The sequence below is a fragment of the Homo sapiens genome, chromosome 22, assembly GCF_000001405.40.
Source record: "Homo sapiens chromosome 22, GRCh38.p14 Primary Assembly".
Taxonomy (NCBI): Eukaryota; Metazoa; Chordata; class Mammalia; order Primates; family Hominidae; genus Homo; species Homo sapiens.
Genome location: NC_000022.11, coordinates 46,676,982 through 46,689,209, shown reverse-complemented (window position 1 = coordinate 46,689,209; position 12,228 = coordinate 46,676,982). Strand labels below are relative to the sequence as shown.

At 54.0% G+C, this 12,228-nt stretch overlaps 2 protein-coding genes across 17 annotated transcripts in view, besides 2 other annotated features; one reads left to right on the top strand and one right to left on the bottom strand.

Moving 5' to 3' along the window:
* CERK (ceramide kinase) overlaps positions 1-4,800 on the top strand; it is a 53,843-nt gene extending 49,043 nt beyond the window's left edge. The window contains exon 13 of the mRNA NM_022766.6: positions 2,004-4,800. Coding sequence (NP_073603.2) covers positions 2,004-2,076 — 73 coding nt within the window. The 3' untranslated portion in view covers positions 2,077-4,800. The remainder of the gene's footprint in view (positions 1-2,003) is intronic.
* Positions 2,604-2,898: a silencer, noted in NCBI's record as "tiled region #6253; HepG2 Repressive non-DNase unmatched - State 17:Gen3', and K562 Repressive non-DNase unmatched - State 23:Low". NCBI's record gives its function as "represses a minimal TATA promoter and a strong SV40 promoter by Sharpr-MPRA in HepG2 and K562 cells {active_cell/tissue: HepG2 | K562}" and the evidence as "EXISTENCE:reporter gene assay evidence [ECO:0000049][PMID:27701403]".
* Positions 5,179-5,680: an enhancer, noted in NCBI's record as "H3K4me1 hESC enhancer chr22:47079427-47079928 (GRCh37/hg19 assembly coordinates)". NCBI's record gives its function as "activates a minimal SCP1, AML or CMV promoter by ChIP-STARR-seq in naive H9 embryonic stem cells {active_cell/tissue: H9 hESC(naive)}" and the evidence as "EXISTENCE:reporter gene assay evidence [ECO:0000049][PMID:30033119]".
* The window catches only part of GRAMD4 (GRAM domain containing 4), a 107,013-nt gene continuing 101,238 nt past the window's right edge, over positions 6,454-12,228 (bottom strand). For 14 of the 16 annotated variants that reach the window (XM_006724169.2, XM_047441210.1, XM_011530012.2 and 11 more), the window contains one exon: positions 9,425-12,063. In XM_006724169.2, coding sequence (XP_006724232.1) covers positions 11,959-12,063 — 105 coding nt within the window. In that variant the 3' untranslated portion in view covers positions 9,425-11,958. Of the gene's footprint in view, positions 6,800-9,424; positions 12,064-12,228 lie in introns of those variants that run through there. The other 2 variants (NM_001366660.1, XM_011530011.2) reach the window with 2 other exon arrangements.

The following is a 12,228-nucleotide window of genomic DNA, read 5'->3' as shown; positions in this document are numbered from 1 at the left end:
AGGAGGAGCCCCAGAGGGACGCCCCGTGCTGGAGGCCACGCAGCCTAGGGGACGCGGGGAGGCAGGTGTGGCCACACACGGATGTTCGGTCTCCCTGGGGCAGGTGCCACACCCCTCCTCTGGCTGGCTGGGCGGAGGGTGGGAAGTGGTGTCCTCCCCACACCCACTGGGGCCCATTGTATTTGGAAGTCTGTGATGTATCACATAACCAGATGGAATCTGAGTGCAAAGAAAATTGTTTCTCCATGGAAAGACCCAGTAACAAGCAAGTTGATTTTTTCAAAAGGCCACTGAATTAGGTGTGGGCGTGCAAATTACATGAGACTGGGGAACGGTAGAGCTCAGGTGGATTCTGAACTCTTGGCAGATGTTGGTAAGAGCTCGGTCTACTTCAAGGAAGCCCAGCTTGACGCTCGTTAACAGAGTGTGGCTGGCGTGAGAGCGATAGCAGGCTGGTCAGCAGGCCCACGCCTGTCTGCAACGAAAGCTGGGTGTCAGATGGCCCTTGGGTGCCTTAAGTCACAGCATGTAAGAGGATGCACGCATCTCTGTGGACAGCGCCCCACTTTCAGTGACTCCTCAGCCAGCCAGCTGCGGCTCTAAGAAAGCTTCTCCCATTCGCATCCGAACAAGCCTAAGGGAGGAGGTCTCTGCCCCTCCCCAGGCCCAGGGCCACGCGCCCCCTTTCTTTCTGTCAGGGCGGTGGTGATGGCAAGAGGCTGTCGAAAGGTCCCAGGAACACCGGCCACCCCAGGCAGCCGTGCACAGGGACTTTCCTCTGTCAACTCATTTGACAAGTTTGGGAAGTGGGATTATTTTTAATATTGGTGTATGTATTTATTAAAGAAATAGAATAATTTGAAAATCAGGACAGGCATTCTTGAAATACGTCCTGTCTATCTTGATAAATATGGCTATGCCTTGAGCAGCACGTCGCTTTTAAAAATATAATTTGTGTGTGTGTGAGCTCAGCTCCATGGAAACAGCCTGTCACTTATTTATTTCTATTTTTTTATTTTTTGAGACAGAGTTTTGCTCTTGTTGCCCAGGCTGGAGTGCAATGGCGAGGTCTCGGCTCACTGCAACCTCTGCCTCCCAGGTTCAAGCAATTCTCCTGCCTCAGCCTCCCAAGTAGCAGGCGCCCGCCACCACACCTGGCTAATTTTTATATTTTTAGTAGAGACGGGGTTTCACCATGTTGGCCAGGCTGGTCTCAAACTCCTGACCTCAGGTGATCCGCCCGCCTGGACCTCCCAAAGTGCTGGGATTATAGGCGTGAGTCACTGTGCCCTGCCCCAGCCTGTCACTTAATGAAGGGGTTTAGGTTACTGAAATACGTCTGAGGAGGCTGTGATATCATTAATAAATGAGATAAATAGAGCTGTCCTGTGTGGGAAGATGGCACTCACCCACGGACTCACTGTGGCCACCGAGCCCCTGGGCAGGGGACCTCCAGGGACCCCCAACTTGTTCCTCAAGCCCGAAGGCTCTTGCTGGCGTTGGGCCACCTGTCCTTCTCATCTGAGCATTCCTCACACATCTCTTACACGCATTGAGTCGCCCCGCACAGACTCCTCGCAGGCCTTGCGCGCTCAGTACTGCTGAGAAAATGGAGGTGGGTGGGTGGGTGGAGTGGGCAGACACTGGAGCGGACGCTCTGCTTTCCATGGGGGTGCTGGAGTTCGAGTCAGGTCTACCGATGCCCAGATTTCCCACCTGGCCATTGGCAACCCCTTTACAAACTCGGCATCCCGGGAGTCTAAGTGAATTATTCCACGCCCAGGGCCCGTCATTGTGGGCTGGACTCCTACAGCCCACGGTGACGTCTGACCGTTCCATGGGGGATGGACCCCCACTTCAGCCCCTGTCCAAGAGCGGTGCTCAGGGCCAGCTTTGAGTGAGGGACACGTGGGGTTTACTGCAGCCCCTGTCCAGGAGTGGGGCTCAGGCCAGCTTTGAGTGAGGGACACGTGGGGTTTACACGTGGCCGCTTGTCTCTGCAGAGTCCACTGCCAGCTGGTTCGACTCTTTGCACGAGGAATTGAAGAGAATCCGAAGCCAGACTCACACAGCTGAGAAGCCGGCGTCCTGCTCACAAACTGGGAAAGTGTGAAAACTATTTAAGATAATTATTACAGACCAATTATGTTGATATATACATTTAAATGTAGAAATTTATTTTTGATAGTTAAATCTTGATTTTAGAAGAAAACCCTTTTGTCAACAATTTTGTGTACATATTTGGCATTTTCAGTTCTGTACGCATCTGCGGGTTGCAGCCCACGCCGCTTACTCTCAGCGGATGCAGCTGCTCACTTGGGGGCACTGGCCTCTTAGGTTTTAACGATGTCAACAGTGTAGTTTAGAAAATGGCCCGTTAGTGGCTCTATTGCAATAATGTTAGGGACATTATATGATTTCCACGCAGGTCACACCATCTGGGCCTGAGGTAGCAGTGGGTCACTTTGATCCACTTTGCAGGACTTATTCTGTAACGGTTTGTGGCCAAGTTTTGGGAAGTGGTTGATTCTCTTTGCCTTCATTTCACCTTCCTCTTCGTTTACGGTTAGGACATCGCTGCTTGATCCTTACAATACTGTGCAACTGCAATGCAACGTGGCCCTGCTTCAGGTGATCCGCGGGAGGGGCCTCCACGCCAGCGCCGGGAAGGCTGCTGGGGCCTCCACACCTGCCTCATCACGGCGGCGAGGCTACGACAATCCGGCTGGGAGCATGACCTTGGCGTCTGTTCTGGGAGCACGGATGATAAGCTCTGGAAGCTGGCAGTGTGTAAAGCACTGGCAAGTTTGTTACTGTTAAAATGTCAAATACCAATGCTTTATATCGACGCGAAGTGCTTAACACAGCCGGGCTTGGGGGCAGTCAGGAGGAAGCTGGCCATCCGTGGAGGAGGGGCCGGTCCTGGACTCCCGCAGGACTCCTCTGAGGCAGGGCCTGAAGTCTGTACACGTGGTCCAGATTTGTCCTTGTCTTTTCTTCACACTGAGTTCTCTATATTTATTGAACATCTTGTCCTTTTAAGCCAGAGTAGTGTAAACTGCGTCTCGGATGTCTGTCTTTTGCCTCGAAGCCACGATGGATCGCTGGTTTCCTCTGCAGCGCGAGGGCTCCGGCGACCAGAGGATTCTTCCCGGAAGGCATTCCTGCCGCGCTCCCCGGGGCACCCCTCAATTGTGTACTACGTCCTTGTTTAGTGTGTATCCGTGCCCACGTAGATGATGTCTGTAACGTAGTTTTGTTTGAAATATGAGAATATGCGGCTTAAACTTTGATCTGTAAGGAGCGGGGCCGTGGCCGTTTGGAGCACGCTGTAGACACCGTTCCTCATGCTGCCGGGTGGGTTTTGCAGAAGCTCCCTTAGTGATTTCATGTTTAACAGGCAGCATCCATTTTCAGAATTTCCTGGCATTGATTTATATTTTGAAGCATACAGGAAACTTCTCGTTTCCTCGTTTAGCCCCACCCAGATCAGGTGAAAGGGCAGCTTTAATGGTGGTTTTTATGGACCACATTATCAGAGAGCACTGTGCAAGCCAAATGGTTCAATAATGAATGAAAATTCTGGGTGTAAAGAGTAAATATGCCCTGGCTCTTTCTACCAATGTTTGCTCCTGGTTGGAAAGAAACCAAAGATTTAAGACGGGCTGCTCTTCCAGACTGGCTGTGCCTGCCTGTGCCCAGCAACCTGTGCAGCCGGCAGTGTGCCTGGTGTCACGCCAGGAGGCTGTGGCTGCTGTGGGCCCTCTGGAATTGTGCTCCTCACAAAGTTTCCCCAAAAGGTTCTTCTAAGCCTTTATTGTCCCTGGTAAATGTTTCCCGGCTGGGCGCGGTGGCTCACGCCTGTAATCCCAGCACTTTGGGAGGCCGAGGCGGGTGGATCACCTAAGGTCAGGAGTTTGAGATCAGCCTGCCCAACATGGTGAAACCTCGTCTCTACTAAAAATACACAACTTAGCCAGTCTTGTTGGCGCACGCCTGTAATCTCAGCTACTAGGGATGCTGAGGCAGGAGAATCGCTTGAACCCAAGAAAGAGGTGGAGGTTGCGGTGAGCCAAGATTGCGCCACTGCACTCCAGCCTGGGCAAACAGAGGGAGACTCCATCGCCCCCCCCAACAAAAAAAAAAGTTTCCCATACACTGGCCTGCCCCAAAACCCACTAACAATTTTAGCAAAACAGTCCAGGCCAAAGAGGAAGCATTTCATGTTCAATAAGAAACCCAGCCATTCCGCATGGCTGGTTCCTGAGTGGCTCTGGTGATACTCTCCAGCCACCTGCTGACATTCAGAATCTCAGACCTCGGGACTGCTGTTGCGGTACCGTGTGTCTGACACCTGCCAGCAGCCCTTTGCTATCTGCGCGCAGGATGGGGGTGACTGCCCAGACATTCCCGCTAGATAGGCTCTGATTTCCGGGGCAGCCTTTCAGATGCGGCAGACATACAACACCTGTACTTTAGAGTTTTAAGGGAAAAAAAATCAGAAGTGCTGGTTAGATAGTAAAAACTTAGGATAACTTAGAAAGGCTAGTTTTAGCTTCCTTTGTGGCTCCCTGGTGCAAAACAATTAGCAGTTATGCAATGGACCTGATTCTAGTTTATTCTAATTAAGAAGTGAGGCCGAGTTTGACTTCGTTCCTGAATACAATCTTGAGTAACTGGGAAAGTCTGAGTGAAAGGATGGCCTCATTCTCTTTCTAATCTTGCTGGTTTCAAGATTAGAAAATGGCATTATTTGATCTGAAATGTTTGAGAAGACACGAATAAAGTTACTTGGGCAGACTTGGCTTGCTTTCTTTCCTTTACACATACCTGTTATTTTCAAAGCAGAATATTTTTCATGAAAACACACACAATTTAAAGAACAAGAATAAAATGAAGCAAGGTGTCACCACCACCTATGCCAGGCAACTGAACGCCGCCCCGAAGCCTTCTGTGCCCTGCTCTGGAGTCCCCCCGCTCCCCCTGGGAGGGCGCTACGAGGTCACGCCAAGCGCATCCCTTCCTGCCTCTGTCCATGGCTGTATCTGCAACAGCGAGTTTAGTTTTGCAGGTTTTGCTCCTTATCCAAAGGAAACGTGTTGTTTTCTGTAACTTGCTTCTTTCACTCCACATGTCTATTTTTATTTATTTATTTATTTTGAGACGGAGTTTCGCTCTGTCACCCAGGCTGGAGTGCAGTGGCGCAATCTCGGCTCACTACAATCTTGGCTCACTGCAAGCTCGCCTCCTGGGTTCACGCCATTCTCCTGCCTCAGCCTCCGGAGTAGCTGGTACTACAGGTGCCCGCCACCACGCCCAGCTAATTTTTTGTATATTTAGTAGAGACGGGGTTTCACTGTGTTAGCCAGGATGGTCTCGAGCTCCTGGCCTCGTGATCCACCAGCCTCGACCTCCCAAAGTGCTGGGATTACAGGCGTGAGCCACTGCGCCCGGCCCACTCCACATGTTTGAGAGGGCATTTGCATTTGTATTTGAGGAACTTCGAAAGGACATTTGCATTGTGAAACTGACTTTTCTGGTCCATGAAAGATCCTCATTCATGTCTTTTAATTATTTTATAATTTTTTCCATGAAAGTCTTTAAATTTTTAGATTTATTCCTAAAACTTGACTTTTGTTTGTTTTTAACCTTGTTTTAAACAAGGTCTTATTCAGTTGCTCAGGCTGGGGTACAGTGGCGTGATCACGGCTCACTGTAACTTCAATCTCTCAGACTGAAGCAATCCCACCTCAGCCTCCTGAGTAACTGGGACTACAGGCGTGCAACACCATGCCTGGCTATTTTGTTAAAATTTTTTGTAGAGACAGGGGTCTCACTCTGTTACCCAGGCTGGTCTCGAACTCCCGGGCTCAAGCAATCCTCCTGCCTCAGCCTTCCAAACTGCTGGGATTACAGGAGTAAGCTACTGTGCCCAGCCAAAAGTTCTTATTTTGAGGCTTTTTAATGTTTTGTAAAGATAGGGTCTCACCATGTTGCCCAGCCTGGTCTCAAACTCCTGGCCTCAAGTGAACCTCCCATCTTGGCCTCCCAAAGCGCTGGGATTACAGGCGTGAGCCACCACACTTGGCCTTTGAGGCTATCTTAAAATTTGTTTTGTTTTGCATAGAAATGCAATTTTTTGTTTGTTATGAGACGGAGTCTCGCCCTGTTGCCCAGGCTGGAGTACAATGGTGTGATCTCGGCTCACTGCAACCTCTGCCTCCGGGGTTCAAGTGATTCTCCTGCCTCAGCCTCCCAAGTAGCTAGCATTATAGGTGCATGCCACCATGCCCAGCTAGTTTTTTGTATCTTTAGTAGAGATGGGGTTTCCCCATGTTGTCCAGGCTGGTCTCAAACTCCTGGCCTCGTGATCTGCCCGCCACAATTGTTTTTTATGTGTTGGGTTATATCCAGAAACCTTGCCTCCCGTCAACCTAAAGTGACATCAGAGTGTTCTCCTAAGAAAGAGTTTATTCAGGAACAGCAAGGGGATTGCAGTCAGGATATGCGTGCTACACTGGAAGGCATTTTGGGGGGTGTTCGCGATAAAGGCAACACTTTAAAAGGCAAAGAAGTCCATGTAAGCTGCTCTAGAACGAAGTTCACAGGTCACAGCAGCTCCTGGCAGGAGGCAGTACTGTTCACCGCAGGAGTGGCCGTCACTGGGCGGGCGCCCTCGTCGCAGTCCCGAGGGTTCTGGGGTGAGTTCTGCTACAGGCAGGTCTTCGAGAGCTTCTTCACGGCCTCCCCTGACTCATTTTGTACCAGCAGCTTCCACACTCCTATGATGATGATTTACCTGTGAATTTCGGGGTTTTCTGTCATCATATCATTTACAGATAGTAACAGCTGAATGTCTTCTTTACAATCGTGCATGGTCCAGCTATTTCCCCTAGCTTGCGATGCCAGCTGTGACATGTGGTAGAGAGTTGAGCAGAGAGGATGGCAGGGGCATGGGCCAGCTCCTGTCTGAGGGAGTGGTCAGCTGCCCATCACTGCCTCTTGGCTCCAGCCCCACCCCAGCTGCCCCTCTGTGATCCCAGGTGTCTCCCTTCCAGCTGACGTGGACCCGAGGGCCCCAGGAGGAGGGCAGAGCTGGGCTTCCTGGTTCCAGGGGTTTTGAGGGCAGATTTCTGATTTCAGCAGCACTGGGTGGCTGCACAGCCCTTTCCCTGGGCGGCTTTCCCAGCTCACACCAACACAGGACGGGGTCTTGGGGTCCTTCCTTGGCTGTGCCCTTAGTCTGTGGCTCCTGTAGTCTCTGGCCAACCCTGTCCTCCAAACACTGCTGGAGCTCATAAGCCCATAGAATGCTGCCTCCTGGAGTTCTGCAGGACGAGCAGAATGGACCACAACCCTGGGTTCCCAGCGTCACTCACTTTGGTCCATGTGAGGCCCTCTCTGATTTATTTACTCATTCATCCGTTACATTCATCCAGTAAATATTTAAAAACATATAGCAAGTACCTATGAAGAGAACCCCTGGTTCAAGAATAAAATCATTAACAATTTCATTCCCCTCTGGACTCTCCCTGACGCACCCCCACCCTGGGTGACCCCTCTTCTGATTTGCAGCCAGAGTGCCAGCTTCTGCTGGAAGCTCTGCAGTGCCCCATCACTCCCAGAACAAAAGTCCTAGAGGGCACCAGGCCTGCCCCACAGGTTTGTGACCTTTCCTTGTTGCACAGCCCCTCTGGTAGCCAGGTACAGCCGAGAGATGCCGCTGAGTAAGGTAAAATGCATGCATTAAAACATGCACGATTGCCAAGGAAACCAGCTGCACTGAAATAGTTATCACAATCACCCGTAAATGGTGATAGAGGTATATGTAGGCACCTTTATTGACACTAAATGGTGAAATATACGCAAAACAGGCAAGTTGTTGGTTTAGGCATAGAGCCTGTGGGCCGAGGGTGGGTGGTCTCCCACAAGGTTGGCCTTTTTGAGCACTCAGAAGCCCCTGGGAGGCCCCTCCGCCTCCTCCATGGCCCGGCTCCAGTGACACCTGCCATGGGCCCACACTGCCCCCTGTCTGTGTGGAGGGGTCAGTGTGGGCTGCCAACGGGTTAGGTAGGTCTGAGCCTTGTTCCAAGTTAGGAGCAAGCTGGGGGAGGACCTGTTGCAGAGGACAGAGGGGTGGGTGGAAGGGGTCGGTGGCTATCACAGCATGGATGTGTTCCTGGGAAGGATGTGAGGGTGTGTTTGGCAGGTTCCTAGCCCATCACTGCTGTGTCCCAGCACCAAGGACTTGGCTGGCTGGGTGGGTGGGTGGGTGGGTAAATGGGTGGATGGGTGGATGGATGGATGGATGGATGGATGGGTAGGTAGATGGATAGGTGGGTGGGTGGGTGGGTGGAAAGATGGATGGATGGATGGATGGATGGATGGATGGATGGATGGATGGGTAGGTGAATGGATAGGTGGGTGGGTGGATGGATGGATGGATGGGTGGGTGGATGGATGGATGGGTGGGTGGATGGATGGGTGGGTGGGTGGATGGATGGATGGATGGGTGGATGAATAGGTGGGTGGATGGATTGATGGATGAGTGGGTAGGTGGATGGATGAATGGATGGAGGGATGAATGGGTGGGTGGATGGATGAATGGGTGGGTGGATGGATGGATGGATGGATGGATGGATGGACGGACGGACGGACGGACGGACAGATGTGGATGAATGGATGGATCAGTGGCTGGCTATGTCGATGGAGTACGCATATGTCCTACTTTCCGAAGCTGTGCCCCTTAGGGTGGCGTGGCCCACTAGACCTAGTTTCCGCCTGGCTCCAGCTCCCTTGCTGTGTAACCTGGGGAGGTCTCTGCCTCCAAGGGGGCTCCTGTGGGCTTGAGGCACAGGAGGCTAGGCAGCACCAGGTGCACCTGGCACAGGCTCATGCCCAACTCCAGGGGTTTCAAAAGCCAGGCAGGTCCTTGCACCCTTCTGTGTCTAGTCTCAGCATCCAGATGGACCAAGCCCCAAGTGTTGCTGGAAACCCCTGTGTCCAGAACCCCCAGGCAGCCAGGACACCAAAGTGGAGAGGGGCCAAAGCCTGCATGCCCCCTGACCCCAAGGCACTGCCTCTGCCTCAACCTCCCCCACTTCGCCCTGTGCCAGCCCTGGGTACCCTCCCTGCAGGCCGCGTCCCTCGCCACCTGGCCTCCTGTCTTCTGGAACTCAGGCCCTGCCCCCTGCTCCCAGCCTCCAATGCCCACGTCCAACAGGACTCTGCTTCTCAGCCCCACCTCACCCCACAGCCGTCACTCAGGCCGCATCAGTACCCAAACGCCCCGCCGCCGGCAGCCGTGGGGCCCCAGGGAGTGGCGGGCTGGCAGCGGCACTGAGGGCCTGGGGTTGGTGGCCCAGCTGGCTCAGGCCGCCTACAATGCGTGTGGCCCTGCCAAGGAGGCAGACAGCCCTGAGCCTTAGCACAAAGCATTTTAGGTTTATTTAAATAAAAATTATAATTTATACAATACTTTTTCTTTAAACAAACAAAGTTTTCTTAAAAAAATGTTACAGGAGAATTTTTTTCATCGGTTCTTAATACAGTACAATCCTTTTGTTGAACAAAAGTCACACTGGCAATGATTATTTACAGATCCAAAATAGACTCAGGCTTCAGACATAAAAAATTTAACATTCGTCTAGTTCAGTGATTAGTCACAGAAATTAAACATCTGCCCAGATGTACACAATTTGGTAAAAACTACAGCTTCTCTCCACGGGGAGCCCAGAGCCCGTGCCGATCCGCGCTCCGCTCCCGAGGACTTCCAGGGAGGGGCCTGTGCTGGCAGCAGAGCCAGTCGGTGGCCCTCCCCCGACCCCCCGCTCCCCGAATGTGGCCCTCCCTGGGGGCTTCGGCCACACCTGGCACGTGGTCAGTTTTCATCTCCCTTTCTCCACAAAAGGGACTCGAACTAAACCACCCGACGCTGGTAAAGCCCCATCTGCCCCAGGGACCCCTCCCGCTGTGTTTGGGGACTGAATCCCAGCACCTAGGAAGAGGCGCTCATTGGCCCCGAGGCCCCGGACCCATCCTTGGGCACTGCCGGGCCCTGGGGAGAGAGGTGTGGCCATTGTCTGCGGGCACTGCCTCTGCAGCCGCCCCTGGGGGTGGGTCAGTGCCCACCCTGTGTTGCCTCAGGCGCCAAGGTGGGGTTCACTGGGATATGTCCCCCTCCCCTGGTGCACCAAGAGAGCCAGTCCCCTACAGGAGCCAGACCCACGGCTCAGAGCGGGTTCTGTCCCCATTCGGGAAAGGCCGCCGTGTGGTCATCCTGACGCCAACGTCCGCGCAGTCCAGAGCCACGGGGGCTCCGCTCCACCGCCTGGGATAGGACATGTGCTTAATCTGGTGATCGGCGCAGCTCCCCCCAAAGCACCCCCGGCACCAGCGTGTGACTCTGCGGCCCCTCGTGAAGGGGGTGAAACCAGCCCATGCCGCCGGATCCCTCACCCACACCAGCAAATGAGGATCGGAGCAAAGATAAAAATTACATCTGAAAAAGGATACAAAAATAAGAAAACCAGCTTGCTCGCTGTAAAAAATAGAATCTTCTGTTTCTTCAAAAAACAACAATCTCAACGACACCCAAGGGACTCAGGACAAGCTGAGGGAGCTGCGGGATCCGCCCCAGCAGACACGCAGGCCCGCGGGGTGGCCACCTCCTTCCAGGAGGCCCAAGCCGCCTTTCCCTCCCTTCAGCCCAGCGCAGGCGGCCCCAGCAGACCAGGCCTGCGGGCGCTCCCTCCACAAATGCCACCTTGTTCCCGGGAAGCCCAGGCTTCCCTGGGGCAGGGCGGGGGCTGGGGGGGTCTGTGCCCGGACCGGCACCGGCTAGGCACGCGGGGGAGGGAACGCTGTCGCATGTCGGCTGCAGGCAGTGCAGGCCCAGGCCTCTGGGCTCGGCTCACGGTTGCTCCCTAAAGCACAGGGGCTGCCAGAGCCTCTCGGATGGCCCAAAGGCGGCTGCAGCCTGGGCCACCATGGTCCCGGAACACTCCTCCCCACTTCCTCCCCCAACCAACCCAGGCAACCGCAGCCTGGGGGCCATGTGCCAGACATGCCACAGTGCTCGGAGCACCTCCAACAGCCTTCGCGGATGTTCTCCTGGGCCTTCCAAAGAGCAAAGTGTGAGAAAGATGTGCTTTTACCTGCACCATCCTGTGCCCTTACTGGTCCCCAGCTACAGACCTCCTGGCCGGCGTGTCAGGCCGAGAGCAGCAGGCAGGCCCTTACAGACGCGGTGCTGAGCGCCCTGGAGGCCAGCAAGGAAGGTGCCACCAAAGACACTGAGGGCAGGCGAGGGGTGGGCCCTTCTCACCCTCTCTGTTCCCGTGGAGCGAGTGTGGAGCGCAGGCAGGGTCACTGCGCCCGGCCCCAGCCCGGCACCAAGGGCAAATGCCACAGGAGGGTCTCATGTAAGAGGAAGGAGGGCCGCCAGGCCCGTTTCTCGGTGGTTGGTGAAAGGCCCCCATGTCCCTCCTTGACGACATCTTTCTGTCCCCAGGAGGAAGGGCCCCGCACTCTTCAGCTATGGCTTTGGTGGTGGACGAGCTTCTGGCCTCTGGAGAGCGGGACACAAGGTTGCGAGAACCTCTTGGGGTGGCTGGAGAGGTTTCTCTGTCCAGGCTGGAACGGAGAAGGGCAGGGCCAGGGGTCCTGTGTGTCTTCTCCACGGGCCCCCGAGGGCCTCTGCCCCCTCCCCCAGTCTGCGGGTGGCCCTCAGAGGCACCTGACGTGCCCTGTGGGAGAGGGGCACCCCCGTCCCTGTGAGCCCTGGCCCCTTCTTGGTCGATAAAACGCAGAGGTCAACACAATAGAACCACAGGTCCAGGAGAATTATTGCAAAAGCTCATGAGGATGTCCAATTGTTTCCACTACCAAATCGTAAAAAAAAAAAAAGAAAAAGAAAAAGAAAAAGAAAATTCCAGCAACGTCCTGGGCAAGTCAATACTAGCTGTCCCCGCCAGACGCTGCCGCTGAGGTGATCTTGATGTACTGGCTGAGAATGGTCTCGAAGGCCTCATCCCTGTGCACCATGGCACCAAACACGAGCGGCTGGCAGGGAAGAAATGCCACCAGTGAGCATGGCACAGCCAGGCTGGCGCCAGGACCAGGACCGAGACGAAGTCCAACACCAGCCCCAGGCCAGCACGCTAGTCACGTGGGTCTGGGTGCAAAAGACAGGTGTCTCCCCACCACCCGGAGCCAGGCTCCAGCCTT